Source organism: Homo sapiens, chromosome 1, assembly GCF_000001405.40.
Source record: "Homo sapiens chromosome 1, GRCh38.p14 Primary Assembly".
Classification (NCBI taxonomy): Eukaryota; Metazoa; Chordata; class Mammalia; order Primates; family Hominidae; genus Homo; species Homo sapiens.
Genome location: NC_000001.11, coordinates 151,593,457 through 151,620,857, shown reverse-complemented (window position 1 = coordinate 151,620,857; position 27,401 = coordinate 151,593,457). Strand labels below are relative to the sequence as shown.

General features: G+C 46.8%; 1 protein-coding gene and 1 long non-coding RNA gene across 11 annotated transcripts in view, besides 7 other annotated features; one reads left to right on the top strand and one right to left on the bottom strand.

Moving 5' to 3' along the window:
* SNX27 (sorting nexin 27) overlaps positions 1–8,808 on the bottom strand; it is an 87,031-nt gene extending 78,223 nt beyond the window's left edge. For 4 of the 10 annotated variants that reach the window (NM_001437604.1, NM_001437602.1, NM_001437603.1 and 1 more), the window contains exon 1: positions 8,417–8,808. In NM_001437604.1, the coding sequence (NP_001424533.1) occupies positions 8,417–8,418 (2 nt within the window). In that variant the 5' untranslated portion in view covers positions 8,419–8,808. Of the gene's footprint in view, positions 1–8,345 lie in introns of all 10 variants that reach the window. The other 6 variants (NM_030918.6, NM_001330723.2, NM_001437607.1 and 3 more) reach the window with 2 other exon arrangements.
* Positions 1,235–1,735: an enhancer, noted in NCBI's record as "H3K4me1 hESC enhancer chr1:151591599-151592099 (GRCh37/hg19 assembly coordinates)". NCBI's record gives its function as "activates a minimal SCP1, AML or CMV promoter by ChIP-STARR-seq in naive H9 embryonic stem cells {active_cell/tissue: H9 hESC(naive)}" and the evidence as "EXISTENCE:reporter gene assay evidence [ECO:0000049][PMID:30033119]".
* Positions 1,736–2,236: an enhancer, noted in NCBI's record as "H3K4me1 hESC enhancer chr1:151591098-151591598 (GRCh37/hg19 assembly coordinates)". NCBI's record gives its function as "activates a minimal SCP1, AML or CMV promoter by ChIP-STARR-seq in naive H9 embryonic stem cells {active_cell/tissue: H9 hESC(naive)}" and the evidence as "EXISTENCE:reporter gene assay evidence [ECO:0000049][PMID:30033119]".
* Positions 7,490–10,341, top strand: LOC124904420 (uncharacterized). The gene is made up of 2 exons (XR_007066622.1): positions 7,490–7,667; positions 8,459–10,341. It is a non-coding gene; the product is annotated as an uncharacterized LOC124904420 (long non-coding RNA).
* Positions 8,453–8,892: a silencer, noted in NCBI's record as "silent region_1324". NCBI's record gives its function as "represses an Ori minimal core promoter by ATAC-STARR-seq in GM12878 lymphoblastoid cells {active_cell/tissue: GM12878}" and the evidence as "EXISTENCE:reporter gene assay evidence [ECO:0000049][PMID:35858748]".
* Positions 8,933–9,032: an enhancer, noted in NCBI's record as "active region_1723". NCBI's record gives its function as "activates an Ori minimal core promoter by ATAC-STARR-seq in GM12878 lymphoblastoid cells {active_cell/tissue: GM12878}" and the evidence as "EXISTENCE:reporter gene assay evidence [ECO:0000049][PMID:35858748]".
* Positions 23,866–24,616: a transcriptional cis regulatory region, noted in NCBI's record as "candidate enhancer chr1.8572 targeted for multiplex CRISPR interference". NCBI's record gives its function as "positively regulates S100A11 gene expression in K562 cells {active_cell/tissue: K562}" and the evidence as "EXISTENCE:mutant phenotype evidence [ECO:0000015][PMID:30612741]".
* Positions 25,595–26,095: an enhancer, noted in NCBI's record as "H3K27ac hESC enhancer chr1:151567239-151567739 (GRCh37/hg19 assembly coordinates)". NCBI's record gives its function as "activates a minimal SCP1, AML or CMV promoter by ChIP-STARR-seq in primed H9 embryonic stem cells {active_cell/tissue: H9 hESC(primed)}" and the evidence as "EXISTENCE:reporter gene assay evidence [ECO:0000049][PMID:30033119]".
* Positions 26,096–26,596: an enhancer, noted in NCBI's record as "H3K27ac hESC enhancer chr1:151566738-151567238 (GRCh37/hg19 assembly coordinates)". NCBI's record gives its function as "activates a minimal SCP1, AML or CMV promoter by ChIP-STARR-seq in primed H9 embryonic stem cells {active_cell/tissue: H9 hESC(primed)}" and the evidence as "EXISTENCE:reporter gene assay evidence [ECO:0000049][PMID:30033119]".

Sequence of the window (27,401 nt, the reverse complement as noted above, 5' to 3'; positions counted from 1 at the left end):
TTCAGCTGGGCATGGTGGTGCACACCTGTAATCCCAGCTACTCAGGAGGCTAAGGCAGGAGAATTGCTTGAACCTGGGAGGCTGAGGTTGCAGTGAGCCGAGATCGTGCCACTGCTCTCCAGCCTAGGCGACAGAGCAAGACTCTGTCACAAAAAAAAAAAAAGCATCTTCAAATCAGAGGAACAGACTTGGAGGAAAGTAGAGCTAGAACACAACAGGCTTGTAGCACACAAGGATGAAAGTTATCAATTGTAAACACAATAGTAAGTATAGTCATTTAAAACAGAAGAGAAAGAGAAAGGATAACTGAGAAGCTGGATTCGATTGTGAAATAAAATACAAACACAAGTTAAAGGCAACCAGCTCCTCACCAGCTGTTCCCAGTTCTGGGTGTCAGAGCTTAGTTGTTCTTAGTTCCCTTCTTTATATAGTACAAGACAGTCCAAGAGACTAGATGGCTCTGAAATTACTCTAATTCTAATAGTGATTTTCCTCTTTCGCCTTGGAAAAGTTATTCAACTTCTTCTGGTAAATAATTATATAAAACTGAATTCACAGGAAGTCCTGGGTATTAATGCACACACAGCTATATTCTGAGCTCATAAAGAGAAAAAAATCCAAACTTCTTGGGATTACATTCAAAGCCATCTTTTTAAAATCTTACTGCAACCTTCCTTTCCAGTTTCTATCATCACAAATGTCTACAGACAAACAGCAACTTTAAGCCCCTTGCTAGCCTAAGAGCTTTTCACATTTTCCCCTCTTTGGTCACAGTTTTCCTCAACCTATAAAATCCTTGCCCCTTCTCTGAAGTTTTATTTGTTCTTCAATCCAGTTTAAAAGCCTTGTATGAGCTGTCTCCCCACCAGTCTTCTTAGGCATATTCACTCCTGCCTCTATACTTCGATTGTGCTTTTCATTTATCTCTATTACCTCGTTTAGCTTTACACACAGCAAATTGTTTACCTTCCCTACTGCAGTGTAAGCTTCTCAAAGGCAGGGATGCAGAGACCCTGTGACTCATACAAGCCAAGCAGTTCTTTATATACAGTGTGTGCTTACTTGTGGAACCAAACTGAGTATGAAGTAATATTTAGCATGCCAATATCAGGAAAAGTGATGCCCTAAATTACTGTTTTTCAGACAGTGGATCACAACCTAATGAGTTGTGAAATTAATGTACCAGGCCACCACCAGCACTCAAAAAAACAGAACAAAGAAACTCAAAATATGAACAAACTAAAAAATACCAGAGTGGGCCCGGCACGGTGGCTCACACCTGTAATCCCAGCACTTTGGGAAGCCGAGGCAAGCGGATCACTTCAGCCCAGGAATCTCAGACCAGCCTGGGCAACATGGTGAAACCCTGTCTCTACAAAAAATACAAAAAATTAGCTGGGCATGGTGGCATACGCCTATGGTCCCAGCTTTCTGGAAGGCTAAGGTGAGAGGAAAAAAGAAACCAAAAAAACTGTATTTACTGGTATCATGCACTCTGGTGTTCAGTTTTGTTTTATTTTTGAGACAGGGTTTCTGTCTCCCAGGCTTGAGGTCAGTGATGTGATCATGGCTCACTGCAGCCTCAACATCCCAGGCTCCAGCAATCCTCCCACCTCAGCCTCCTGAGTAGCTGGGACTATAGGCATGCGCCACCACACGTGGCTAACTTTTGTATTTTTTGCAGAGATGAGGTTTCACCATGTTGCCCAGGCTGGTTTCGAATTCCTGAGCTCAAGTGATCCGCCCACCTCGGCTTCCCAAAGTGCTGGGATTACAGGCGTGAGCCACTGTGCCTGGCCAGTAAACATAATTTTTGTGAAGCTTATTTCAGGTGTTTTTTTTTTTTGCATATATATTAGGTTATAATGTAAAATGTATCTCTTACTATGAGCTGCAATTTTTTAAAAGATATTTTAAAACTGCCTAAAATTTTTTTCCAAATGTGGGCTGAACTGTACCAACCCATCCATGGGCTCTTACTGGATTGCCCAAGAAGCACAGAAAACATCTGTATAGCTGAGGTGGAAGAAAAGAATGAACCTAAATGGCTCTAACCTAAACCACCACAATATCCTTTTGTCAGCAATGCCATCATCTAATGAATGAACCTGCCAAAGATTATGCTCAAAAAGCATTTTGAGCAGTGATCATAAATTGTTAAGTGTCTGCTTGTCAATTAAGTCTCTTTGCTTATCTACAAGGTCATAAGAATTATTCCCAATGGGACTTACCTAGAAAAATAATTATCTTTGAGAGCATGGTAACAGGCCCTCATCTGAAAAAAACTGGTCAGTGGTGGATGGAAAAAGAACTGTTCTTCACAATAAGTTAAAAGACCCAGACAAATTGTTATGCTACTAATAAAATATATTTTCCTGGTTACAGCAATCTGTGGAAGTGATTTCTGAGGGGAAGGTAATGCTATTTTCAAATTTAGTTTTATTTGTTTGCAACCTCAACTACCTGTGAAATTAAAAGGAATTTAAAAATGATTGTTCTGCTGTCTTCACTGATAACCAACAGGGTAAAGATAGCAATAATAAAGGCAAAGAATGCCTGCTTTAGTCCCCTGTCTCTCATCCAATTTAACAATGGGTAATAGTGAGTAAATAAAGATATAAAATAGTTACATTTCACAATAGTAGAACCAAAGTTCAACCACTATCGACGTTTATATGAATGTAACTGAATTTTAAGCAGCCAGGTGCTCAAGCCTGCAATGCCAGCGGTTTAGGAGGCCAAAGTGGGCAGATCACTTGAGGCCAGGGGTTCAAGACCACACTGGGCAACATGGCAACCCCATCTCTACAAAAAAAAAAAAAAAGTACAAAAAAATTAGCCAGGTGTGGTAGTGCATGCCTGTAGTGCCAGCTACTCGGAAGGCTGAGGTGGGAGGATCACTTGAGCCCAGAATTCAAGTACAGCCTGGGCAACATAGTGAGACTCCTATCTCTTTAAAAAAAAAAAAAAAAAAAAAAACAGCTCTAAAAAGAGAAAATATTCAAGATCTAGAATCCAAAGATCTGGATTTAATTCTGGTTGCCATTCATTGGTACAACACTCAGTTTCCATTTCCTGTCTTATAAAATAGGGATAATACTCATATATTCATTTGGCAAGTATTTACTGAAGAATACTTTCCATGGGCCACCAGACATTTGGCTAGGGATACAACAAATACATAGTATTTGATGTAGTCCCTGCCCTTGATGAGCTTATAATCTTCCTATCTCACAGGACTGTGTGAAGATCAGATGTAAAAACACTACAGACTGACTGGGCGCAGTGGCTCATGCCTGTAATCCCAGCACTTTGGGAGGCCGAGGCGGGCTGATCACCTGAGGTGGGGAGTTTGAGACCAGCCTGGCCTGACCAACATGGAGAAACCCCGTCTCTACTAAAAATACAAAAATTAGATGGGCGTGGTGGCACATGCCTGTAATCCCAGCTGCTTGGGAAGCTGAGGCAGGGGAATTGCTTGAACCCGGGAGGCGGAGGTTGCAGTGAGCCGAGATCGCACCACTGCACTCCAGCCTGGGCAACAAGAGTGAAACGCTGTCTCTAAATAAATAAATAAATAAATAAATAAATAAAACTACAAACTATAACACACTATACACGCTGCAAAGCAGTAAAATGATTATTATAACTATTAATATTAACTTGTGCTACCTCTTAACCATCCATCTTTATTTCAAGAGCTTAGCAAGATCCAATAAATAAAGTATAGACGATCAGATAGAACAGTTAGTATTTAACTGATTTTCCACTTAGGTTGGAATTCGAGAGCCTAACAATTCACTATTTGTTGGTATAACCTTAGCTCATTACTCTCAATATAATCATGAAGATAAAATGAACTGAGAATCCAAGGCCTACAACCTACTGCATCACCCTGGGCATGTAACTGAGTATGTGGGTTGCATTACCCACACCTGGCAAAGGAGTAAAAAAATAAAGATTTCTAGGCCCTATGAAAGATCTACTGAATCATAACCCTTAAAAGGTGAGCCTGAGAATCTGTACTTTAGATAAGCACACCCAAGTGCTTCTCATGTACCCTAAAGCCTGAGAACCGCTGCCAAACAAATTTCCTTTGATCAATAACCATGATTTCATTATTTCAAACATTACCAAAATCTACCTAGAAAATATCAGTCAAATAGAATTCAGTTGCAATTGAGAAAGCGGCTTTTGAGACGGTACCTAGTCTGTGTTACATGACTCACACTTAACTCATAAAAATACTTCTTGTGGCACCAGCCTCTTTAATTCATTTTCAAACTCTCACATAAAATGAAGTTAAAAAACTGACTTTCAAAAAACAAATTGATATACACAGTTTTATTTTATCTTATGACTTTAATGAGGGAAAGTTGATGAGTCTATTATCTGGTGGCTATCAAAGAGGAAAGCATATATACTGACTAGCATAAATATATCATGATTTTGAATGCTTGCAAGCCAATCTTAGTGGTCCATGCTTAAACTAATCCTTCAAAAATACAGACAGTTTTATATCCATATCCACCACACACTAAAACCTTCCAGCAGCGTCTCTCGAGAAATCAATCAAGAGTCCTTGGAACTACTTTAACCTTAAGAAAATTAACCTGAAGTCAAATGTTACTTCACATACTATATAATTAGTGCAAAGACATATTTATTTTGGTTCTGTTTGTTGAAAGCATTCTTTACTCATTAGCCTCCAGGTACATACACATCAAAGGGAAAACACTCAGTATATGTTACACTGGGAAAAATTACAAGGTGGAAACCAGCTTTGCTAGTCAAAAAAACTTTCCATCTGCAGTAAAATTTAGAGCCCAGAGGGCTTGTTCATACTGCAGTACCAAGCCCTGTTAGAATCTAGACAGTTTTGAAAGGAGAAAAGGCAAACTGAACCATATGGGCTCCAATTTAGTTTCAGGACTAAAGATTAGGACAGAGCCTTGGTAAGCCGACTTTAAAAGAAACACAAAGAAACTGAAGCTCTTACTTGTGTCCAAGTTTGTATGCCCTTAAATTTCAAAGTTACTCTGTTCTTTCACACCACTGTCAGTTGTCCAAACAACTGAAAAATACGAAAATTGTTACAAAAACAATTTGTAAACACAATAGAAGAATCTAAAATAGGGAAAAGTCTTAAATAGCAATTATCAAGGTCCATACATTCACCTATGACTTGATACAAACTATATCCACACAATGATAATCCACCTATCCCTAATTCTGACCCCACCTGGCTCTTCAGCAACATGCAAAGCTTTCCTGGGACAACAGAGGTAAACTTTAAGAACTTGGAGGACAGACAAAAGCTCTAAGGAGTATTGCCTAAAAAATGCTTTAGGAAAATTAGCATCAACCTAACCAAGATCGAGACAAGTAGCGGGCACAGATATCCCTCAAGAACCACATCTATTTGGTTGCTGATTTCCCCTCTCACTTGAAACCCTAAAGAGAAGGCGCAGACTATCGAAGAAAGGAAGAAAAAAAAAAAGAAAAGAGAAAGACACTGTATAGTTGGGGTCTCACAGAATGTACCACTAGCTTGGCTTTGGGCTGTAATTATCATTACTTCCCCTATAGTACCAAAGAAGGTTCAGAGAATTTGGAAATCAAAATACAGATAGTTGGAAGAGTGAGAAACCAATGCCAGGAAGATTTCTGATTATCACAACCTTCCAGAGAGGTCTTCTAGGCAGAGTATTCTTTTCCCCTGCCCACTAAAAGTGACAAAGTTCTCTACTTACCACAAAGGATGTGCCAAAAAGTAATGTTTTTTCTCTAGAAGGCAAAGATTTCCCAGCTTCCTAGTCTGGAACCTGAGCCTAAGGCAAGTCCTTCTACCTTTCCTAGGGGATTATCTGAGGTCTCCTTTACAGTTTATACCTAGGCTCTTGGGCAGAAGCCACAATAAAGGCAAGAAGCCACTAACTATGTATGTTGGGATGTGTGCGTGTATCTGCAAAGATAGATCATATTAACTATAGTCTCCTACAGAATTATTCTTTTTGGTTTAGTTCCTTTAGATCCTGTGAAGAGTAAATAATGTAGAACTTCATCATAAATTTATAATTATAAATGCTTTAGTTTTAAATTTAAAAATAAGAAGCTGAGTCCAAAATTAACTTCCAAAGGGAAAGGAAAGTGACAATTCTGAGACCTTCTATTGGAAGAAAACATCAGCCACAAATTTTGAGTTATCTAGAAAGAAAATAATTAGGTGCCCAAGTATAAGAAATCTGAAAGTCATTATTGTAATCCCAGCACTTTGGGAGGCCGAGGCGGGCGGATCACCTGAGGTCAGGAGTTTCAGACCAGCCTGGCCAACATGGTGAAACCCGTCTCTACTAAAAATACAAAATTAGCTGGTCATGATGACACATGCCTGTAATCCCAGCTACTCAGGAGGCTGAGGCAGGAGAATCGCTTGAACCCGGGAGGCGGAGGTTGCAGTGAGCCGAGATCGCGCCACTGCACTCCAGCCTGGGTGACGATCAAAACTCCATCTCAAGGAAAAAAAAAGAATATATTGTCAGACAATACTAGGAATACTAGGAAACAGTATGTAGGACATTAATGAAACAAGAAAGCATCTATTTACAGAAAGGACAGAGGAAAGGTATACTGTCTCCAAACACTGGCCTAGGTGAGCAACTATTTCTTTTTTTTTTTTTCAATCAACTCTCCCAGGTTAAAACCAACCATTTCTTGAGGTGGAAGAGGTGAGGAAACAGAATGAGTGGACACCATGGAGTTAAGAATGTCAAGGATAAGGGTAGATGGCACGAGATGAGTAAGAAGGAATGGATTTCTCTATAAGGCAGATTTTCAAAAAACTATCCCTTTTGCAAACCTACTGTTTTACAAGAGGCAACAGAAGGTTGCGGAAATTACAATTAAAATTTATAAAAAATGAGAACGATTTCAAGTGGGCAAATCGAAATATGGAGGGAGAGAGTAAAAGTGTAAAAAAGGAATGCACAACATAGATTCAGTAAGCAGAAACACAGCACTGAAGACTGCTGAGGAGAACGGAGACAACGCGAGCACACACCACCTGCAAGTCAACCGGCAATCACTATCCGAATTTCAATACGAAGTACAAAAAGGCAAATGTAACACCTAGATTAGGGTAATGGAGGCGGTGTGCACAGAGATTGCAAGACAAGGCAGCATCCCGCAAGAGCATGGAGGGATGTGGTGGGGGAGGCGTATGAAGGGGGAGGGACTGCAGCAGGGGAGAGAGGGTGGGCTGCAGCAGCAGAAGGCGCCTTAAAAAACAGAAGAAAGGAAAAGCAGCCTAGGGGAGGGAAAGACTAGGACAAAGTCAAGTGTGGGATCACAGGAGGATAGAGTAGAAGAGGCAGCAGAGACGGGCATGCCCTAAAAAAGCAAAGCGGTCAAAGACCCAAAAAGGGCTTGAAGTAGTTTTGAAGGAGGAGGAGTTACAAGGGGTCTACCATAAACCTGACTAGGAGGAGGCATGAGTATAGAGCAGGAGTGAAGGCAGGAGGCCAGGGAAGGGATGCTCTCAGAGGGGTGTGCTGATGGAGACGCTAGATTCCAAATTAGGGTGTGATACGGGGCCAACCGAGAAGAGAAACTACGGTGTCAAATCCCACGCCCCCCACCCCAAAGGCATGCAAGGGTCAGAAAGCAAGGTAAACTCTTGGAGTAGAAATACAAAAAGGAGGGGAGGAAAGGGGCACACGGTGGGATGGAAAAATTTAGGGGCAGCGTAACCATGAGGAGAGGGTAACTAAGGAAAGAAAAAGGAGACGAGCGGGGAGGGATGGTGTTTCCGGAGGAAAAGTAGGAGCAGACCAGAGGTCCTGCCTACTTGGTCTGGAGGGCAGAAGGGGCAGTCCACGGGGGCGGAGGGGAGTGGTGGAGAACGAAACTGCGATGCTGAAGATGAGAACTTGGGGGGGACACGGTACTGGCTGGATCAGAAAACGAAACGCCGTCAGTAAGGAGCAGATGAGGTTCCTTCTGAGCAAGACGAGGGGGAGTGAGGAGCAGAATGCAGCACGCCAAACGGGAAGGCAAAGGGGCGGAGAAGAGCCCAGAGTAATCGGGGCACAGGGAGGAGCACTGGGGGCGCAAGGGCATCAGCTGGAGACGACGGGGTGGGAGACCGGCGTCGCAGAAGCCCCGGGGCGGGTGGTGGGAGGGCAGCCCACAAGGAGGGGCCCGGCTGCGGAGGCCTGAGGGGCGGGGGTCCGGAGGCCGGCTCGGAGCTCGGGGGAGGTGCGGCCTGGGGGTGACAAGGGTAGCGAGGAGTGCAGGGGCAGGAGGGGCGCGGGGAGGATGGGGCGGCGGGTAGCCCCGATACTCACACCTCCAGGATGCGGTCCCCCTTGCGCACCCCGGCCCGATCGGCCGCCCCCCCGGGCAGCACGGCGCTCACATGCTGCAGCGGCGCGTACAGCTCCCCGTTGATGCTCCGCAGTTGCCCGCCCTCGCTCACTTGGCCCCGCACGTTGAAGCCGTAGCCGGACTCGGACTTGACGATGCGCACGACCCGCGGGCCGCCGCCTCCCCCGCCGCCGTTCCCGGCGCAGTGGAGCCCAGACCCCCCGCCGCCGCCGCCACCTCCGTTCCTGTGAGGGGCTGAGGGATGAATCCCTTCCCCGTCCTCGTCCGCCATCTTGCGAGCAGGCGAGCCGTACCCCCGCCCCCTACGCCTCCAAGGCCTCCCGGCGCGTGCTCGCCCTGCCTGGCAGCCGGACGACCCCCGACGCGCGCGCCCGATCCGCCGGCCGCGGGACCGACTCGGCCACCGAGCTGCTGGCGCGGGGTGAAGAGGAGGCAGGGGGCGGGCGAAAAGCGGACAATCGGGCACCGTGGGGCCTCCTGGGAGATGTAGTTTATGGGTGGCGGGGGCGGGGAGCGGTCTGGGCCTGGGCCTGAGCCGAGGTTATAAGACGCAGTTCGGAAGCAAGGCCTGCCGGGAGTTGTAGTTTATCTTTCATGCTGGGTTAGGAGTTTGATCTGCTGGGTGGGGAGAGTATAACCCAGCACCCAGCGTGGTAAAATGATTCAGTTCTTGATGCGGACCAAGTTTTTCGCCCCCCCCCCTTTCATTTCATAACCTCTAAAAAACAATAATGTTAGAATAACTTAACGTTTGTGATTCAACACAGTCTTAAATTATATCAACTCATTTTTTGGCACAGTAACTTATATGTTGACCAGGGCCCAACAACCTGTGAGGCAACCGGATCACGATTAGCTTCCCTATTTTACGTTATTAGGAAACAACCTTAGAGTGCTCAAAGTCATCCAGCTACTAAGTATCAGGAACTAAGGCCCAGTTATTGTGCAACTTTCTTGTCCTGTATTGCAACTACAGTCATGTGCCACATAAGGACATTTTGGTCTACAATGGACTGCAAACACGAGGGAGGCCCCCTAAGATGATAATGGAGCTGAAAAATGTCTATCACCTAGTGGCACAGTAGCCACCATAAGGTCATAGCACAAGCATTACTCACATGTTTGGAGTGATGCTGGTGTTAACAAACCTGCACTGCCAGTCATGTGAAAGTATAGCACATATGATTATGTACAGTACATAATACTTGATAATGGTAAGAACTATGTTACTAGTTTATGAATTCACTGTAGTTTTTATCACTATTTTAGAGTGTACTCCTTCTACTTTTTTTTTTAAGTTAACTGTAAAGCAGCCTCAGGCAGGTCCTTCAGAAGGTATTCTAGGTATTCTAAGTATTGTGATTTTTTTCCACGTATTCCAAGTATTGTGTTTTTTTGTTTTGTTTTGTTTTTTTGTTTTTTTTTTTTTTAAGATGGAGTTTCGCTCTTATCGCCCAGGCTGGAATGCAATGGCACGATATCGGCTCACCGCAACCTCTGCCTCCCAGGTTCAAGTGATTCTCCTGCCTCAGCCTCCCAAATCCCTTGCGATTAAACGCATGCGCCACCATGCCTGGCTAATTTTTTGGTATTTTTAGTAGAGACAGGGTTTCACCATGTTGGCCAAGCTGGTCTCGAACTCCTGACCTCAGGTGATCCAACCACCTCAGCCTCCCAAAGTGCTGGGATTACAGGTGTGAGCCACTGTGCCTGGCCCCAGTTATTGTTACCATCAGATGACAGCTCTGTGCATGTTATTACCCATGAAGACCTTCCAGTGAGACAAGAGATGGAGGTGGAAGACAGTGAAATTGATGATCCAGATCTGGTGTAGGCATAGGCTATGTTTGTGTTTAAGTCTTAGTTTTTAACCAAAAAAAAAAGTTTAAAACATAAAATTAAAAATTGCCTTAAATAGAAAAAAAGCTTATGGAATAAAGATATAAAGAAAGAAAATATTTTGTACATCTGTACAATGTGTTTGTGTTTTAAGCTAACTGTTATTACAAAAGAGTCCCCCCAAATTTTTAAAGGCTGGGTGTGGTGGCTCATGCCTGTAATACCAGCACTTTGGGAGACCGAGGTGGGAGGATTCCTTGAGCCCAGGAGTTCAAGACCAAACTGGGCAACATAGTGAGACCCCATCTCAACAAAAAATAAAAAATTAGCTGGTGGCTGAGCGAGACTATATCTAAAAAAAAAAAAAAAGCAGCTGGGCATGATGGCACATACCTGTAGTCCCAGCTACTTAGGAGGTTTAGGTGGGAGGATCGCTTCAGCCTAGGAGGTCAAGGCTGCAGAGAGCTGAGATCACACCACTGTACTCCAGCCTGACCATCAGAGTGAGATCCTGTCTCCAAAAAACAAAGATGAGATCTCACAAAATATGGGATGAGGACTCAAAGTCATTATAATTAGAACATAAAAATTAATATGACCTTATTTTACAACCAAGCTAATGAAGAAGGATCTTGACTAGTTACACAATAAAGTTGATATAAGAGTTTTGCTCCAAAATAATAGTGGCATTTGGATTGAATATGAATAATTTGGTTTGAACTGAGCACTGGATGGGGAAAGCAAGGCATCAGAGAAAGGAAAAAGAAGGGAGCCTCCCCTAAAAGAGTTATTTTTTCATTGGTTTATTAGATAAAAATATACTGAATGCCTACTCTGAATTAGATAAAAATATACTGAATGTCCCCGAAAGGCAACAGGACATGGTCAAACTTACAAATACACATATTCCTCAAACTGAAGGCGATTCCACTTCCAGGAGTTCATTCTACTGTTACACTTGCACATGTGTGAAGTGATGTTTTTATGAAGTTAAGTCATTGCAGCATTGTTTGTATTCACAAAAGACTGAAAACAACCTAATGTTTATTTGTTAAATCATAATGTATCCACAATGGAAAATTGAATCAATGTAAACACAGAATAAGGAAGCTCTGTATGCACTTATATGGAATGATCATATCATCAATACTATATATGATTTGGTGAAAACAAAGTGCAGCACAATCTATACAACATGATACTATTTGTATATAAAACGGGAACCATGGGCCAGGCACGGTGGCTCACGCCTGTAATCCCAACACTTTGGGAGGCCGAGGTGGGTGGATCACCTGAGGTCAGGAGTTTGAGACCAGCCTGGCTAACATGGCGAAACCCCGTCTCCACTAAAAATACAAAAATTAGCCGGGTGTGGTGGTGCACACCTGTAGTCCCAGCTACTCGGGAGGCTGAGGCAGAAGAATCACTTGAACCCGGGAGGTGGAGGTTGCAGTGAGCTGAGATTGTGCCACTGCACTCCAGCCTGGGCAACAGAGCAAGACTCTGTCTCAAAAACAAACAAAACAAAACAAATACAAAAATTAGCCGGGCATAATGGCAGGTGCCTGTATTCATCAGAAGGCTGAGGCAGGAGAATCGCTTGAACCTGGGAGGTGGAGGTTGCAGTGAGCCAAGATCACGCCACTGCACTCCAGCCTGGCGACAGAGCAAGACTCCATCTAAAAAGATAATAATAAAATAAAAGGGAACCATATATATTTTTATATCTTTAGAAGTATTCACAAGAAATTGATAACACTGATTGCTGCTGGGGAGGGAGACTGGATAGCTAGGGTGTCAGAGGCGGGGACAGGGGTAGGAGAGAGACTTTTCACTTTATACCTTTATGTAACTTCTGAATTTTCAGTCACATGAGTGTTGCCTATTCAAAAAATAAATTTAAAAATATTTAGAAAGGATCAGGTTGGAAGAAAAGATGATCAGAGCATTAAAATAACAAAAGAAAATAAGACACCATTACTGCTGGTGAGAATTCACAATCTAGCAGGAGAGAAAACAAAAAACCATTGCAATAGAGCATGATGAGAGCTGTGAGGAGAGTCCTGCACAAGCTGCTAGGATTGCACATCGGAGGGACTTCCACGTATCCAGAGGGAGGAGTTAGGGAAGATGACTCACGAAATGGGAGAGCTGAGCTAAGTGATTACAGATGAGAAGAGTTAGCAATTGCGGCAGAGAAGGATAGTGGTGGAAGGGCATTTCTGACAAAGGAAACAGCATATTCAAACACACAGAGATTTGAAAGAACACAGTACAGTGTGAGACCACACAGTTCAGTAGGACTGGAGCAGAGGAGACAGGAAGTGGACAGGGGAGGTGGGCAAGAGTCAGATCCAGGAGGGCTTAAAATATCGAATATCGGCCGGGCGCTGTGGCTCACGCCTGTAATCCCGGCACTTTGGGAGGCCGAGGTGGGCGGATCACGAGGTCAGGAGATCGAGACCATCCTGGCTAACATGGTGAAACCCCTTCTCTACTAAAAATACAAAAAATAAAAAATAAAAAAATTAGCCGGGCATGGTGGCGGGCACCCGTAGTCCCAGCTACTCGGGAGGCTGAGGCAGGAGAATGGCGTGAACCTAGGAGGCAGAGCTTGCAGTGAGCCGAGATTGCGCCACTGCACTCCAGCCTGGGCAACAGAGCAAGACTCTGTCTCAAAAAAAAAAAAAATCAAATATCATGCCCAGGAGTTTGAATTTCATTCCTTATTAGTGAGGGGCCTCTGATTGCTTTTAAGCAGAGCACAGGCATTCACAAATCTGTGCTTCAAAAAGTTCATGCTGCAGGATGTGTGGAGAATGAAGTCAGATAGAAAGATCAGTTATGAAGCATTTGCAGTGATTCCAGTGGGAATTAATGAGGTGCCAACTAGGGCAGTAGTGGTGGGAATACAAGGAGGGGGATGCACAGGAGAGAAGGGACTTGGTGACCACTAGGATCTCAGGTGCAAAGGTAGGGGAGGAAGGAATGACATAAGATTCCTGACATGGTGATGTGATTCCCCAAGACATGGCATAAAAAGGAAGCGGAAGAGGTTTGCAGGGAAAATTAATTTAATTTGTTTAAATTTGTTTGATTTAAACAAGAAGAAGATTAGTTTAATTTGGGGCCTTTGGGAAAGCCCAGAGGAATTGTCCAACAACTGGTTGAACACATGAGTGTGGACCTGGGGAAAGGAGTCTGGGCCAGAACTTAGATTTGGGAGCCATCAGCCCTGGGTGGTGGTAGATGAGAACCCCAAAACATACTGTGCAGTCAGATGAGAAGAGTGCCAAGTCCAGAACGTGGAGAATCTGCTCCCATGGTCACCCCATTTAGGAGACTGAAAGAGGGAGAGCATCCAGTGAAAGAGGAGCCAGGGGGCTGGGGGACCCAGAGAGAGTGGGAGTCAATGATGCTGCTTTCAGAAATAGGATCTGGACCATTGACAGAGCACTTTGCATCCAAGAGCTTGTCTCGTTCTCACAATAACAAAGTCAATCGAAATGGTCACAAGAAGCTAGGCTCAGATAACCAGCAGGTCCCAGTCACACTGCTAGTTAATACCAGACCTGAACCTTGAACCCAAATTTTCTGACACTAAGCCAGGACATTCTCCTTCCCCTACCCAGCTTCCCTTTGGTTCAATAAGAAAAAGTTCCTCCTACCCCTTGTGATCTGCAAGGTCGTCAGGTTTCTGTTACCTTTTTGTGTAGGAATTACTTAGGTGAGAATCCCACCTCCATACTTTTGCTCATGGAGTTCTTTGGTCCTAGATGTTCTGCCTCTTTATTTCCCTTTGCTGAACTAAATTCTACTCTTCCTTTAAGACCTGGCTGAAGTCCTTCCATAAAGCCTCCCCTGGGGACTCCAGTTCACTCTGACATCCCTCTTTTCTAAATTCCTGAGGCAAATATACCTTCAGGTGATCCCCCTCAGTGAGTCATGCTCTTGTGTAATCCCTTCCTCTTGAGTGTGGGTAGAACCTGTGACTTGCTTCTAGGCAATAGAATATGGCAAAGGTGAGGATGTGTCACTCCCATGATTATATGACATTATATAACACTTCTTAGCAGACTAGAGCAGGAGACTTGTGCCAGCCTTGAGGAAGCAAGCTGCCATGTTGTGAAGTGCCTGTGGAGAGGGCCACACAGTAGGAACTGCAGGGCCCTCTCTAGGTGCTCAGTGTGGCTCTGGGCTGACACCAAGAAACTGGGGTCCTCAGTCCTACACCCTCAAGAAATTCTCCCAGCAACCACATGAACTTAGAAGAGGATCCTGGGCTCCACAAAGAAACACAGCCCAGCTGGCACCTTGAAAGCAGTCTTGTGATGCCGTGAGCCAAGGACCCAGTTAAGCCCAGCCCAGACTCCTAACACCAATAGAAACTGTGAGATAGTATATACTTGTTGCTTTAAGCTGCTAACTTTGTGGTACTGTGTTACACAGCAATGGGTAATTTAATGTAACTCTTACTGCATTTAGGTCAGTACCACTCCGTTTAATTTTTTTTTTTTTTTTTTTTTAAACAGAGTTGCCGGGCATGGTGGCTCATGCCTGTAATCCCAGCACTTTGGGAGGCCGAGGCAGGCACATCACCTGAGGTCCGGAGTTCAAGACCAGCCCAGCCAACATGATGAAACCCCGTCTCTACCAAAAATACAAAAATTAGCGAGGCGTGGTGGCATGGTAGCTGTAATCCTAGCTACCACTTATAATCCTAGCAACTCGGGAGGCTGAGGCAGGAGAATTGCTTGAACCTGGGAGGCAGAGGTTGCAGTGAGCCAAGATCGTGCCACTGCACTCCAGCCTGAGACTCTGTACCCCCCAAAAAAATAAAAAGAAATAAACAGAGTCTCACTCTGTCACCCAGGCTGGAGTGCACAGTTTAGACCATAACAATTTAATATCTAGTTTAACTTTACTTTTCCAATCTGAATATAAGCTTCTTGAAGACAAGGAACTGGTCATACATGACTTGTGCCCTGACAGTGTATGAGAATAAGAAGCACAGAGAAGGAGCTGAACAAGTGTTTCTAGAATACAAGTCTAGGAAAGGACAAAAAGTGGCTAATACGGCCATGGTGGGGATCAAATCAGCGATATGTAGAAAATGCCTAGCAGAATGCTTAGCACATCACCTTTTTTTTTTTTTTTTTTTTTGAGACAGAGTCTCACTTTGTCGCCCAGGATGAAGTGCAGTGGTGGCGAGATCTCGGCTCACTGCAACCTCCACCTCCCGGGATCAAGCCAATCTCCTGCCTCAGCTTCCCGAGTAGCTGGGATTATAGGCGTGCACCACCATACCAGCCTAATTTTTGTATTTTTAGTAGAGATGGGGTTTCACTGTGTTGGCCAGTGAACTCCTGACCTCAAGTGATCCACCCATCTCCACCTCCCAAAGTGCTGGGATTACAGGCATGAGCTACTACGCCCGGCTGCTTTTATTTATAATTCTAACAAATATCACATCTAGCCCCATTTGCTCATTTTTTCTGATAAAGAAATATCTCCCTCTACCACTACCCTTCAGAAAAAGCAACATACCCAGCAAGGTACAGCGATTTGTCAAAGGTCACTCAGCAAATCAGTGGCCAGAACTCAACCCTAAGGAGAAAAATTAAATAGTTTAAAAGAGGCAATGAACTGGACACAGTGGCTCACACCTGTAATCCCAGCACTTTGTGGGTCCAAGACGGGAAGTATCACTTGAGTTCAAGACCAGTCTGGCCAACATAGCAAGACCGCATCTTGCCACAGAATTTTAAAAGTTGGCTGGGTGTGGTGGTGCATGCCTGTAGTCCCAGCTGCTCAAAAAACTGAGGCGGGAGGATCACTTGAGCCCAGGAGGTCGAGGTTACAGGGAGCTATGATTGCACTACTGCGTTTCAGGCTGGGCTACAGAGGGAGACCTTGCCTCAAAAAAAAAAAAAAAAAAAAAAAACGGCAATGACACATCCATTATCCATGGGTTCATGGGTTAAAGAGAACAAAAAGGGGGTCCTTGTTTAAGGCCCTTACCCTAATTCTCTCTTCTTTCCTCTTCACTACCTTTCTATACTTTTTCCATGAACACCACATGAAAAATTACTTTTTTGGCAATCTGAGTAACTGACTCACAAGGAGTGAATAATACCTAGAGACTAGAGAGTTTATTAGTCAAGATTCCTTGCAAGTAATTGTCAAGATTAGTTGCAAGTGACAAAAACTCAATTCAAACTAACTTAAGCAAAGAATACGTATTGCTTCACATAGCTAAGGAGGACATTGAGTATTCCAGTTAATTGTAGCTACATAACAAACCACACAGCCAGGTGTAGTGGCTCATGCCTGTAATCCTAGCACTTTGGGAGGATGTTTCAGGAGGATCTTTTGAGCCTAGGAGTTCAAGACCAGTCTGGGAAACATAGCAAGACCCTGTCTCTACAAAACAATTTTAAAATTAGCCAGGCATAGTGGCACATGCCTGTAGTCTTAGCTACACAGAAGGCTGGGATGGGAGGATCCCTTGAGCCCAGGAGTTGGAGGCTGCAGTGAGCTATGATCCCACCACTGCACTCCAGCCTGGATGACACAACAAGACTCTGACTTTATTTTGTGTTATTTTATTTTATTTTATTTTATTTATTTATTTATTTTGAGATGGAGTCTCGCTCTGTCGCCCAGGCTGGAGTGCAGTGGCACGATCTCGGCTCATCCCGGGTTCATGCCATTCTCCTGCCTCAGCCTCCTGAGTAGCTGGGACTACAGGCGCCCGCCACCACACCTGGCAATTTTTTTTTTCTTTTGTATTTTTAGTAGAGAGGGGTTTCACTGTGTTAACCAGGATGATCTCGATCTCCTGACCTCGTGATCCTCCCGCCTCAGCCTCCCAAAGTGCTGGGATTACAGTCGTGAGCCACCGCACCCGGCTATTTTATTTATTTTATTTATTTATTTATTTTTTTTTTGAGATGGAGTCTCACTCTGTCACCCAAGCTGGAGTGCAGTGGCATGGTCTCGCCTCACTGCAACCTCTGCCTCTGAGGTTCAAGCTATTCTCCTGCCTCAGCCTCCCAAATAGCTGGGATTACAGGCGTGTACCACCATGCCCAATTAATTTTTGTATTTTTAGTAGAGACAGGGTTTCACCATGTTGGCCAGGCTGGTCTCGAACTCCTAACCTCAAGTGATCCGCCCACCTCGGCCTCCCAAAGTACTGGGATTACAGGCATGAGCCACCATGCCTGGCCGAGACACTGTCTTTAAATAAGTGAATAAGTAAATAAATAAAGTTTCTAGAAGAACTATGATTATCCAAACCTGGATCCCATGCCCAGGTCATGTGCCTAAGAAGAAAGCTTGCTGGGTAGACGCTAAACAATAGCTAATACAATCAGCACAGGTTTAACTTGAGGGAGAATTTATGTCAGCTTAGCTTGTAATTATCATTCTGTTGGCTCTCTATCAGCATTCTATAGCTGTAGTGTTCCCTTTCCCTGGTCACCTTCATATCATGCCCCTGTCTTCCACTTTGCCATAACATCACCTCTCTGAGGTTCACTGGGTTTCCCATTGGGAAGAAAAGTTCCCTGGCTTTGGCTGAGCGCGGTGGCTCACGCCTGTAATCCCAGTACTTTGGGATGCCGAGGCGGGCAGATCACCTGAGGTCAGGAGTTCGAGACCAGCCTGACTAACATGGAGAAACCCCATCTCTACTAAAAATACAAAATTAGCCAGGCGTAGTGGCGCATGCCTGTAATCCCAGCTACTCAGGAGGCTGAGGCAGGAGAATCGCTTGAACTCAGGAGGCAGAGGTTGCGATAAGCCAAGATTGCACCATTGCACTCCAGCCTGGACAACGAGAGGGAAACTCCATCTCAAAGAGAAAAAAAAAGAAAAGTTCCCTGGCTCTTACAGCCACACTGGCTGGCTTTTTTTTCTGTCATGCCCTCTCACTACATCAGACTGTCATGCTTCAAAGGCCACTCCCAAATATCATTATCATTTTTCACTATCCTTCCAGCAGCAACTATCTAGGCAATTGTCACTCTATTAACTGTGTTTCTCCCTCTTTTCCAGTACTTCCCCCACTTTTTTTTCTTAAAATCAAACTCAATTTTCCAAGGGTCCCTTTTCCTAGAAATTACCTCCCAGGACCAACACTACAGAAATAATACAATAGATCAGGAGACCTCATAACAAATAGACCAATGAGGTTTCTGCATTGTTGGCATTATCCAATGGGAAAATGTGTGAGACTTGGGTCCTCTGCTTTGGTTCCTGTTTAGCTTTCATCTTTAATACGTCCTTAGAATGCTTTTGGCTACAAGCATAGAAAATTCAAAAGTGTAAATAATAAAGAAATTTATGGTCCCACATAAATGTCAGGATTAAAGGTAGAGAGTTCCAGAGTTGGTTAATTTTTTTTTTTTTTTTTTTGAGACAGAGTTTGTTTCTGTCACCCAGGCTGGAGTGGAGTGGTGAGATCTTGGCTCACTGCAGCCTCAACCTCCTGAGCTCAAGTGATCCTCCCACCTCAGCCTCCCCAGTAGCTGGGACCACATGCACATACCAGCACGCCCTGCTAATTTTGTAGTTTTTGTAGAAACGGGGTTTCGCTATGTTGCCGAGGCTGGTCTTGAACTCCTGGACACAAGCAGTCCAACTTGCTTTGGCCTCCCAAAGTGCTGGGATTACAGGTGTGAGCCACTGCGCCCACCCCCAGAGTTGGTTAATTTAGTGACTCATTCACGTAGAAGATCCAGATTCCTTTTCATCTCTCCCCTCTGCCATCTTTGGTGTATCATCTGGGCCATTGGCCAACTCCTCTCACGGTGGCAAGATGGCTTGCTGAACTCCAGGTATCACCAACACACATGGCCACAACACTGAGAAGCAGAAAATAGGAAATTTCTTTTTTTTTTTTTTTTTTATTGATCATTCTTGGGTGTTTCTCGCAGAGGGGGATTTGGCAGGGTCATAGGACAACAGTGGAGGGAAGGTCAGCAGATAAACAAGTGAACAAAGGTCTCTGGTTTTCCTAGGCAGAGGACCCTGCGGCCTTCCGCAGTGTTTGTGTCCCTGGGTACTTGAGATTAGGGAGTGGTGATGACTCTTAACGAGCATGCTGCCTTCAAGCATCTGTTTAACAAAGCACATCTTGCACCGCCCTTAATCCATTTAACCCTGAGTGGACACAGCACATGTTTCAGAGAGCACAGGGTTGGGGATAAGGTCACAGATCAACAGGATCCCAAGGCAGAAGAATTTTTCTTAGTACAGAACAAAATGAAAAGTCTCCCATGTCTACTTCTATCCACACAGACCCGGCAACCATCCGATTTCTCAATTTTTTCCCCACCCTTCCCGCCTTTCTATTCCACAAAACTGCCATTGTCATCATGGCCCATCCCCAATGAGCCGCTAGGCACACCTCCCAGACGGGGTCGTGGCCGGGCAGAGGGGCTCCTCACTTCCCAGTAGGGGCGGCCGGGCAGAAGCGCCCCCCACCTCCCGGATGGGGCGGCTGGCCGGGCAGAGGGGTCCTCACTTCCCAGTAGGGGCGGCCGGGCAGAGGCGCCCCTCACCTCCCGGATGGGGCGGCCGGCCGGGCGGGGGGCTGACCCCCCCACCTCCCTCCCGGACAGGGCGGCTGGCCGACCCCCCCCCCCCCCGCCTCCCTCCCGGACGGGGCGGCTGGCCGGGCAGAGGGGCTCCTCACTTCCCAGTAGGGGCGGCCGGGCAGAGGCGCCCCTCACCTCCCGGACAGGGCGGCTGGCCAGGCGGGGGGCTGATCCCCCCACCTCCCTCCCGGACGGGGCGGCTGGCCGGGCGGGGGGCTGACCCCCCCCACCTCCCTCCCGGCCGGGGCGGCTGGCCGGGCGGGGGGCTGACCCCCCCACCTCCCTCCCGGACGGGGCGGCTGGCCGGGCAGAGGGGTCCTCACTTCCCAGTAGGGGCGGCCGGGCAGAGGCGCCCCTCACCTCCCGGACTGGGCGGCTGGCCGGGCGGGGGGCTGACCCCCCACCTCCCTCCTGGACGGGGCGACTGGCCGGGCAGAGGGGCTCCTCACTTCCCAGTAGGGGCGGCCGGGCAGAGGAGCCCCTCACCTCCCGGACGGGGCGGCTGGCCGGGCGGGGGGCTGACCCCCCCCACCTCCCTCCCGGACGGGGTGGCTGCCGGGCGGAGACGCTCCTCACTTTCCAGACGGGGTGGCTGCCAGGCGGAGGGGCTCCTCACTTCCCAGACGGGGTGGCTGCCGGACGGAGGGGCTCCTCACTTCTCAGACGGGGCGGTTGCTAGGCAGAGGGTTTCCTCACTTCTCAGACGGGGCAGCCGGGCAGAGACGCTCCTCACCTCCCAGACAGGGTTGCGGCCCAGCAGAGGCGCTCCTCACATCCCAGACAGGGCGGCGGGGCAGAGGTGCTCCCCACATCTCAGACGATGGGCGGCCGGGCAGAGACGCTCCTCACTTCCTAGATGGGATGGCGGCGGGGAAGAGGCGCTCCTCGCTTCCTAGATGGGATGGCGGCCGGGCAGAGACGCTCCTCACTTTCCAGACTGGGCAGCCAGGCAGAGAGGCTCCTCATATCCCAGACGATGGGGGGGCAGGCAGAGACGCTCCTCACTTCCCAGACGGGGTGGCGGCTGGGCAGAGGCTGCAATCTCGGCACTTTGGGGGGCCAAGGCAGGCGGCTGGGAGGTGGAGGTTGTAGCGAGCCGAGATCACGCCATTGCACTCCAGCCTGGGCACCATTGAGCACTGAGTGAACGAGACTCCGTCTGCAATCCCGGCACCTCGGGAGGCCGAGGCTGGCGGATCACTCGCGGTTAGGAGCTGGAGACCAGCCCGGCCAACACAGCAAAACCCCGTCTCCACCAAAAAAAAAACGAAAACCACTCAGGCGTGGCGGCGCGCGCCTGCAATCGCAGGCACTCGGCAGGCTGAGGCAGGAGAATCAGGCAGGGAGGTTGCAGTGAGCCGAGATGGCAGCAGTACCGTCCAGCTTTGGCTCGGCATCAGAGGGAGACCGTGGAAGGAGACCGTGGAGAGAGGGAGAGGGAGAGGGAGAGGGAGAGGGAGAGGGAGAGGGAGAGGGAGAGGGAGAGGGAGAGGGAGAGGGAGAGGGAGAGGGAGAGGGAGAGGGAGAGGGAGAGGGAGAGGGAGAGGGAGAGGGAGAGGGAGAGGGAGAGGGAGAGGGAGAGGGAGAGGGAGAGGGAGAGGGAGAGGGAGAGGGAGAGGGAGAGGGAGAGGGAGAGGGAGAGGGAGAGGGAGAGGGAGAGGGAGAGGGAGAGGGAGAGGGAGAGGGAGAGGGAGAGGGAGAGGGAGAGGGAGAGGGAGAGGGAGAGGGAGAGGGAGAGGGAGAGGGAGGAAATTTCATCCTGAGTCTATTGGAAAAGCAAGAAACCCTTTCGAGTAGCCTTGCATCAGCTTTCTCTCATGTCTCATGAGACAAAAGTATATCACATGATAATCTGCTAAACTAATCATTGGCCAAAAAAATGCCATGATTGACTTAAACTAATCAAAACTTACCCCTGGGTCAAAGAGTAGACCCATCCCAGTGTGAGGAGCTTGCCAGTGAATACCAGAACAAAACCGGGGGTCAAAGAAGGATGGGAGTGAGGGGGACAGGGGAGGATGGAGTTGGACAAGCAGCCAATTATATTCAATGCACTTCTCTTTAGTTTGTTCCCTCCAACTATAAACTACAGATGGAGAAATTTCAATAAATATGATTTTGCAGGACATGCTTATCAAAATTGTTTAATTAAAAAACAGTGAGACATGCTGGGCGTGGTGGCTCACACTTGTAATCCCAGCACTTTGGGAGGCCAAGGCGGGTGGATCACCTGAGGTCAGGATTTCAAGACCAGCCCGGCCAACATGGTGAAACTCCATCTCCACAAAAATACAAAAATTAGCCGGGCATAATGGCGGGTGCCTGTAATCCCAGCTACTCGGGAGGCTGAGGCGGGAGAATCGCTTGAACCTGGGAGACAGAGGTTGCAGTGAGCCGAGATCGCGCCACTGCACCCCAGCCTGGGTGACAGAGCAAGATTCCGTCTCAAAAAACAAAACAAAAGCAAAAACAGTGAGACACATGCTACAACATGGATGAACCTTGAAGACATTATACTAAATGAAAAAGCTAGTCACAAAACGACAAATATTGTATAACTCCTTTTATATAAGGTTCATAGAGTAGCCAGATTTATACAGACAGAAAGTAGAATGGCTGTTGCCAGAGGGAAGGAGGAGTGGGCAATGGAGAGTTGTTATTTAAGGAGTTCAGAGTTTCAGTTGGGGAGATGAAAAAGTTCTGGAGATAGATGGTGGTGTTGATTGCACAACAATGTGAATGTACTTAATGCCACAGAACTGTATGCTTAAAAATGGCTAAAATAGGCCGGGCACAGTGGCTCACGCCTGTAATCCCAGGACTTTGGGAGGCCGAAGCAGGCAGATCACGAGATCAGGAGATCGAGACCATCCTGGCTAACACAGTGAAACCCCATCTCTACTAAAAATACAAAAAATTAGCCGGGCGTGGTGGCGGGCGCCTGTAGTCCCAGCTACTCGGGAGGCTGAGGCACGAGAATGGCATGAACCTGGGAGGCGGAGCTTGCAGTGAGCCGAGATCCCGCCACTGCACTCCAGCCTGGGCAACAGAGCGAGACTCCGTCTCAGAAAAAAAAAAGGCTAAAATAGTAAATTTTATGTTATGTATATTTTTCCACGATAAAAAATGTTTAATACAATGGTGAGGCTATTTAAGATATAGAGCAAAAAAATTGTGCTAAACTTGAAAAAATTTTCACTAATAACCCTAATGTTGGGCTTTTGGGCTATTTTAATATGTGAGTGACAGCCATTTCCCAGCCTTAGCGATCACTTCTGTCCTACTCATGTGCCATCCTCTCCTCTTTCCTCAGACCCATGGTTGTTTTGACTAAAGCACAAGTCAAAAAATTCCACCCCCAAGGAACGCCCTGCAAGGGAGTCCCCAGCACGGAATGGAATCAACCATGACACCCACTTACCTTTCCCCTTGAAGGTGACCCTCACCTTTCTTCTTTTGTTGTGTAGTCATCCTTTTTCAATACAGCTGGCTATCCCCATATCCACGCCAAGAGCCTTTGGGACCAGGAGGCAGAGAGAGCCAAAGAGAAGCACAAGCACAGAGCACCAGCTGATACTGGCAGCTCTGGAAAAGTCTATTTACTGACAACACATATGTACTCATATGGACTGATCCCTCCGAAGTTTGCAGATGAGGCTAAGCTGTGGGGAGCAGTACAGAGAAGTGGCAGCCGTGTGTCCAACCTCAACACTCATTCATGGAGGGCCAGGTCATTCCACCTGAAGCTACCAAAGCCCCACACCATGTCCAATGCCCAGAGCGAGCAAGAGACCTATCCAATCCCATTACATAACCTTAAAATCAGAGGTCATCTATTCACATTTCAGCTACTCACTCCACACAGTCTTTTCTGAAAAAATCAGAGACTATAAAGACCTTCAACATTGCAACACCCACCACCCCTTTAACTCATGTCCCAGAGCTTAATCACACTATCAGAAAATTTCTCCTTACATGTCATCTTCTGGGATTAAAATAGATTCTAAACAGCCTCCATCAAATTTTGAATGATGTGTGCCCTCCAGTGCACAAACATTAAACATTAGCATTCAGTTCTCTGCGTTGAGCTCCTGATGCCAGGCAAGTGCCCCAGGGCTGCCTCATGGAGTGATTGTCTTTTGCTCAGTGATCCTGGTCAGCCACCTGGAAAAACACTCTGCTGGTTACAGGAAGGAGAACTTACTTCAGTTCTGCCAGCACTGACTGGGTCCCTACTACCTGCCAGGCACTGGGCCAGGGCTGCAGACATGAAGATGAATAATCAACCCCTTCCCTTAGGAATTCTCAGGCCTGGGGGAGAGGCAGACATGAAAACAAACAAGTAGTGTACATTGTGATAAGTTTTGTGCCAGCTGCTGTGGGAGCCCTGATAAGGGATGATTAACTCTGTCTGGGGATTCTCTGGGGAGTCAGAGAAGACTTCACCAAACAGATGTCATTTGAGTGGGGTTTTGAAGGATGACTAGGAGCTTCTCAGAAGGATAAGGCAGGGAAAAGAATTTCAGGCCGAAGGAAGCACACATGGAAAGGCAGAGAGGTGAAGAAGGACATGGTGTGTCTCAGAAACAACTGGCAAGGTAGCAGAGGTCCAGAAATGAGACTGAACGAGTAAAGCCACAGGCAGCTTAATCCCGACCATGACCCCTCCGTGGCCCAGGGAGAAGGAAGGCAAAAACAAATTGAAGTTCTAGTCCTATTGCTGCTGAGTAAGCAACACTATTTTTCTAGATGAAGATGATATCCTTAACTCTTTGTTCCATGAGTGTTCTAGATCTTCTACAAGATTATAATCTGCTAGTGAGAACTGTCTTCTCAAGGGATCCAGGCCTTCTACATTTGGAAAGGCCATTGGACAGGTCATCTGGAATCTTTTGGGAAGCTGCGTTGATTTGAAATGTCATTATTGCTGATTGGAGCTCTGAAGAACCTGCCATTTGACAGAGGAGGGAACCGAGACTCAGAGAGGTGAAGGGGCCACTTGACCTCATCATGGTAGGATGAGCCAGGCCAGCACCCAGCCCTCCTTGCCACCCTCACTGAGCTTCCTGTCCTACCTTTTTTTTTTTTTTTTGAGACAGAGTCTCCCTCTGTCATCCAGGCTGGAGTGCAGTGGTGCCATCTCGGCTCACTGCAAACTCCGTCTCCCAGGTTCAAGCGATTCTCCTGCCTCAGCCTCCCAAGTAGCTGGGATTCAGGCATGCACCACCACGCCCGGCTAATTCTTGTATTTTTAGTAGAGATGAGGTTTTGCCATTTTGGCCAGGCTGATCTCGAACTCCTGACCTCAAGTGATCTGCCTCAGCCTCCGAAAGTGCTGGGATTATAGGTGTGAGCCACCGTACCTGTCCTGTCCTTCCTTTTATCCCCTTAAGGAGCCCAGGTTGGTGCTCTTTTATTCAGTGGATATGTAATAATTCTGGTTATTTCATCCTCTCCAGAAAAAAAAAAAATAAGTGTATGGTTTGGTGGACTTTCTGGAAACTTCCAGAACCAATTCTTCCTGAGTAAGGGCTTATTAAACATGAGCAGGCCGGGCGCGGTGGCTCATGCCTGTAATCTCAGCACTTTGGGAGGCTGAGGTGGGTGGATCATGAGGTCAGGAGTTGGAGACCAGCCTGACCAACGTGGTGAAACCCCATCTCTACTAAAAATACAAAAATTAGCCAGGCATGGTGGCACGTGCCTGTAATCCCAGCTACCCAGGAGGCTGAGGCAGGAGAATCACTTAAACCCAGGAGGCGGAGGTTGCAGTGAGCCAAGATCGCGCCACTGCACTCCAGTCTGGGCAACACAGTGAGATTCTGTCTCAAAGATAAACAAACAAACAAACAAACAAGCATGAGCAAAATGAACTGAAACTTCCCAAGGAACTCTAGGAAAAGCTGGTCTAACACATGAGCCTTACAAATTAGTTTTTTTTCAATCACCTTTCAGTCTACCAAAATTTTTACCAGTCTTAAAATGCTCCCAGTTCTTTTCTGTTTTTTGGGTTTTGTTTTTTGTTTTTTGTTTTTGTCTGTCTGTTTGTTTGTTTGTTTTGAGACAAGGTTTAACTTTGTCACTCAGGCTGGAGTGCTGTGGCACGATCTCAGCCCACTGCAGCCTCAACCTCCTGGACTCAAGCGATCCTCCCACCTCAGCCCCCCAAGTAGCTGGGACTACAGGCATGCACCATCATGCCCGGCTAATTTTTTTGTATTTTTAGTAGAGACAGGGTTTTGCCATGTTGCCCAAGCTGGTCTTGAACTCCTGACCTCAAGTGATCCGCCCACCTCGGCCTCCCAAAGTGCTGGGATTACAGGTGTGAGCCACTGCAGCCGGCCTAAAATGCTCCCAGTTCTTCTCAAAACTCTGCCTCTGATGATGTGAGCTGTAAGGCAGACTAAACTAGGACACGGACACATTTTCAATTTTTCATAAAATATTTGCTTTCCTAGAATCCAGTATCTTTTTAGGCCTCTTTTTTTATCCTTCTGGTGCTAGGCCTAATTTACAAAATGGCTCCCTCATCTCATCCTAATTTGGCTGGCTGCTCTTTGCTAAAGAACTGAGTTTAGGATTTACAACATGAAAACTACAGAGACCCAGGCAGGTCTGAAGAGACAACTTGCTTGTCTTCCTGTGGGGCCCGGCGGCGGCCACCTGCACAGGTGCTGGAAGACTTGCTGCCCTCTAGTGGCTGCATCCTGGGCGCGCAGGAGTACCTCCACTTCGCAAATGAAAAAAATCCTCGTTTTCAGGTTCACCGGCTAAACGTGCTCTGAAAGCATTGTCTTCCCCTCCGAAGACCCATGGAATTTTAGAGCTAAAAGGGAACTTAGTCCATCCCCTACTTTTCTGGTTTCTCGTTTTGTTTTGTTTTGTTTTGTTTTGTTTTGTTTTGTTTTGTTTTGAAGGAGCCTGAGGATCAGAGAGATTGGGTCCTTCAGCTAAGAACCTGCAACAGTTAGAGAAGTAGACAGGAATAGAATCTCCCCGCTACCCCACACCCTTATTAAAAGACAGGGAAGGGAGAGGAAGTCACCATTTGAAATTTAGAAGTACACAAGATGCAAAAGGGTTGTGTACTCGAGTGAGCCAAGTGATCCCAGGGGATCCCGGAGGGTCTGGCTAAAGGCTGAGCTCTCCCCGTCAGCCACTCCCCTGGCCCGCCCCCTCCCCAAACCGCTTCTGCTTCCCCAGGAAGCTACTTTGTAAGTGCACGCAGGCCTCGGATAGGGACCATCTCTCTGCCGCTTTTTGAACTTTCCTTAGGTCAAGGACACTGCACTCCAGTGTAGATCTAGATTTTTGTCCAAATTTCAACCTAAAGTAATTCACTCCCCCACCCCCGCCATTGGGCCTCGGTTTACTCATCTGTCAAATGAGGGAGTTGGATCGGATGCTTTCTAAGGTTTCTTTTAGCAGTGGTAGTTTATGATTGTCTGCCTCTTGGCATACAAGTGTCAATGAAAAGAGACAAACTATAGAATATTTGAAGAGATTTATTCTGAGTCAAATATGAGGGACCAATGGCCTGTGACATAGCACTCAGGAGATCCTGAGAACATG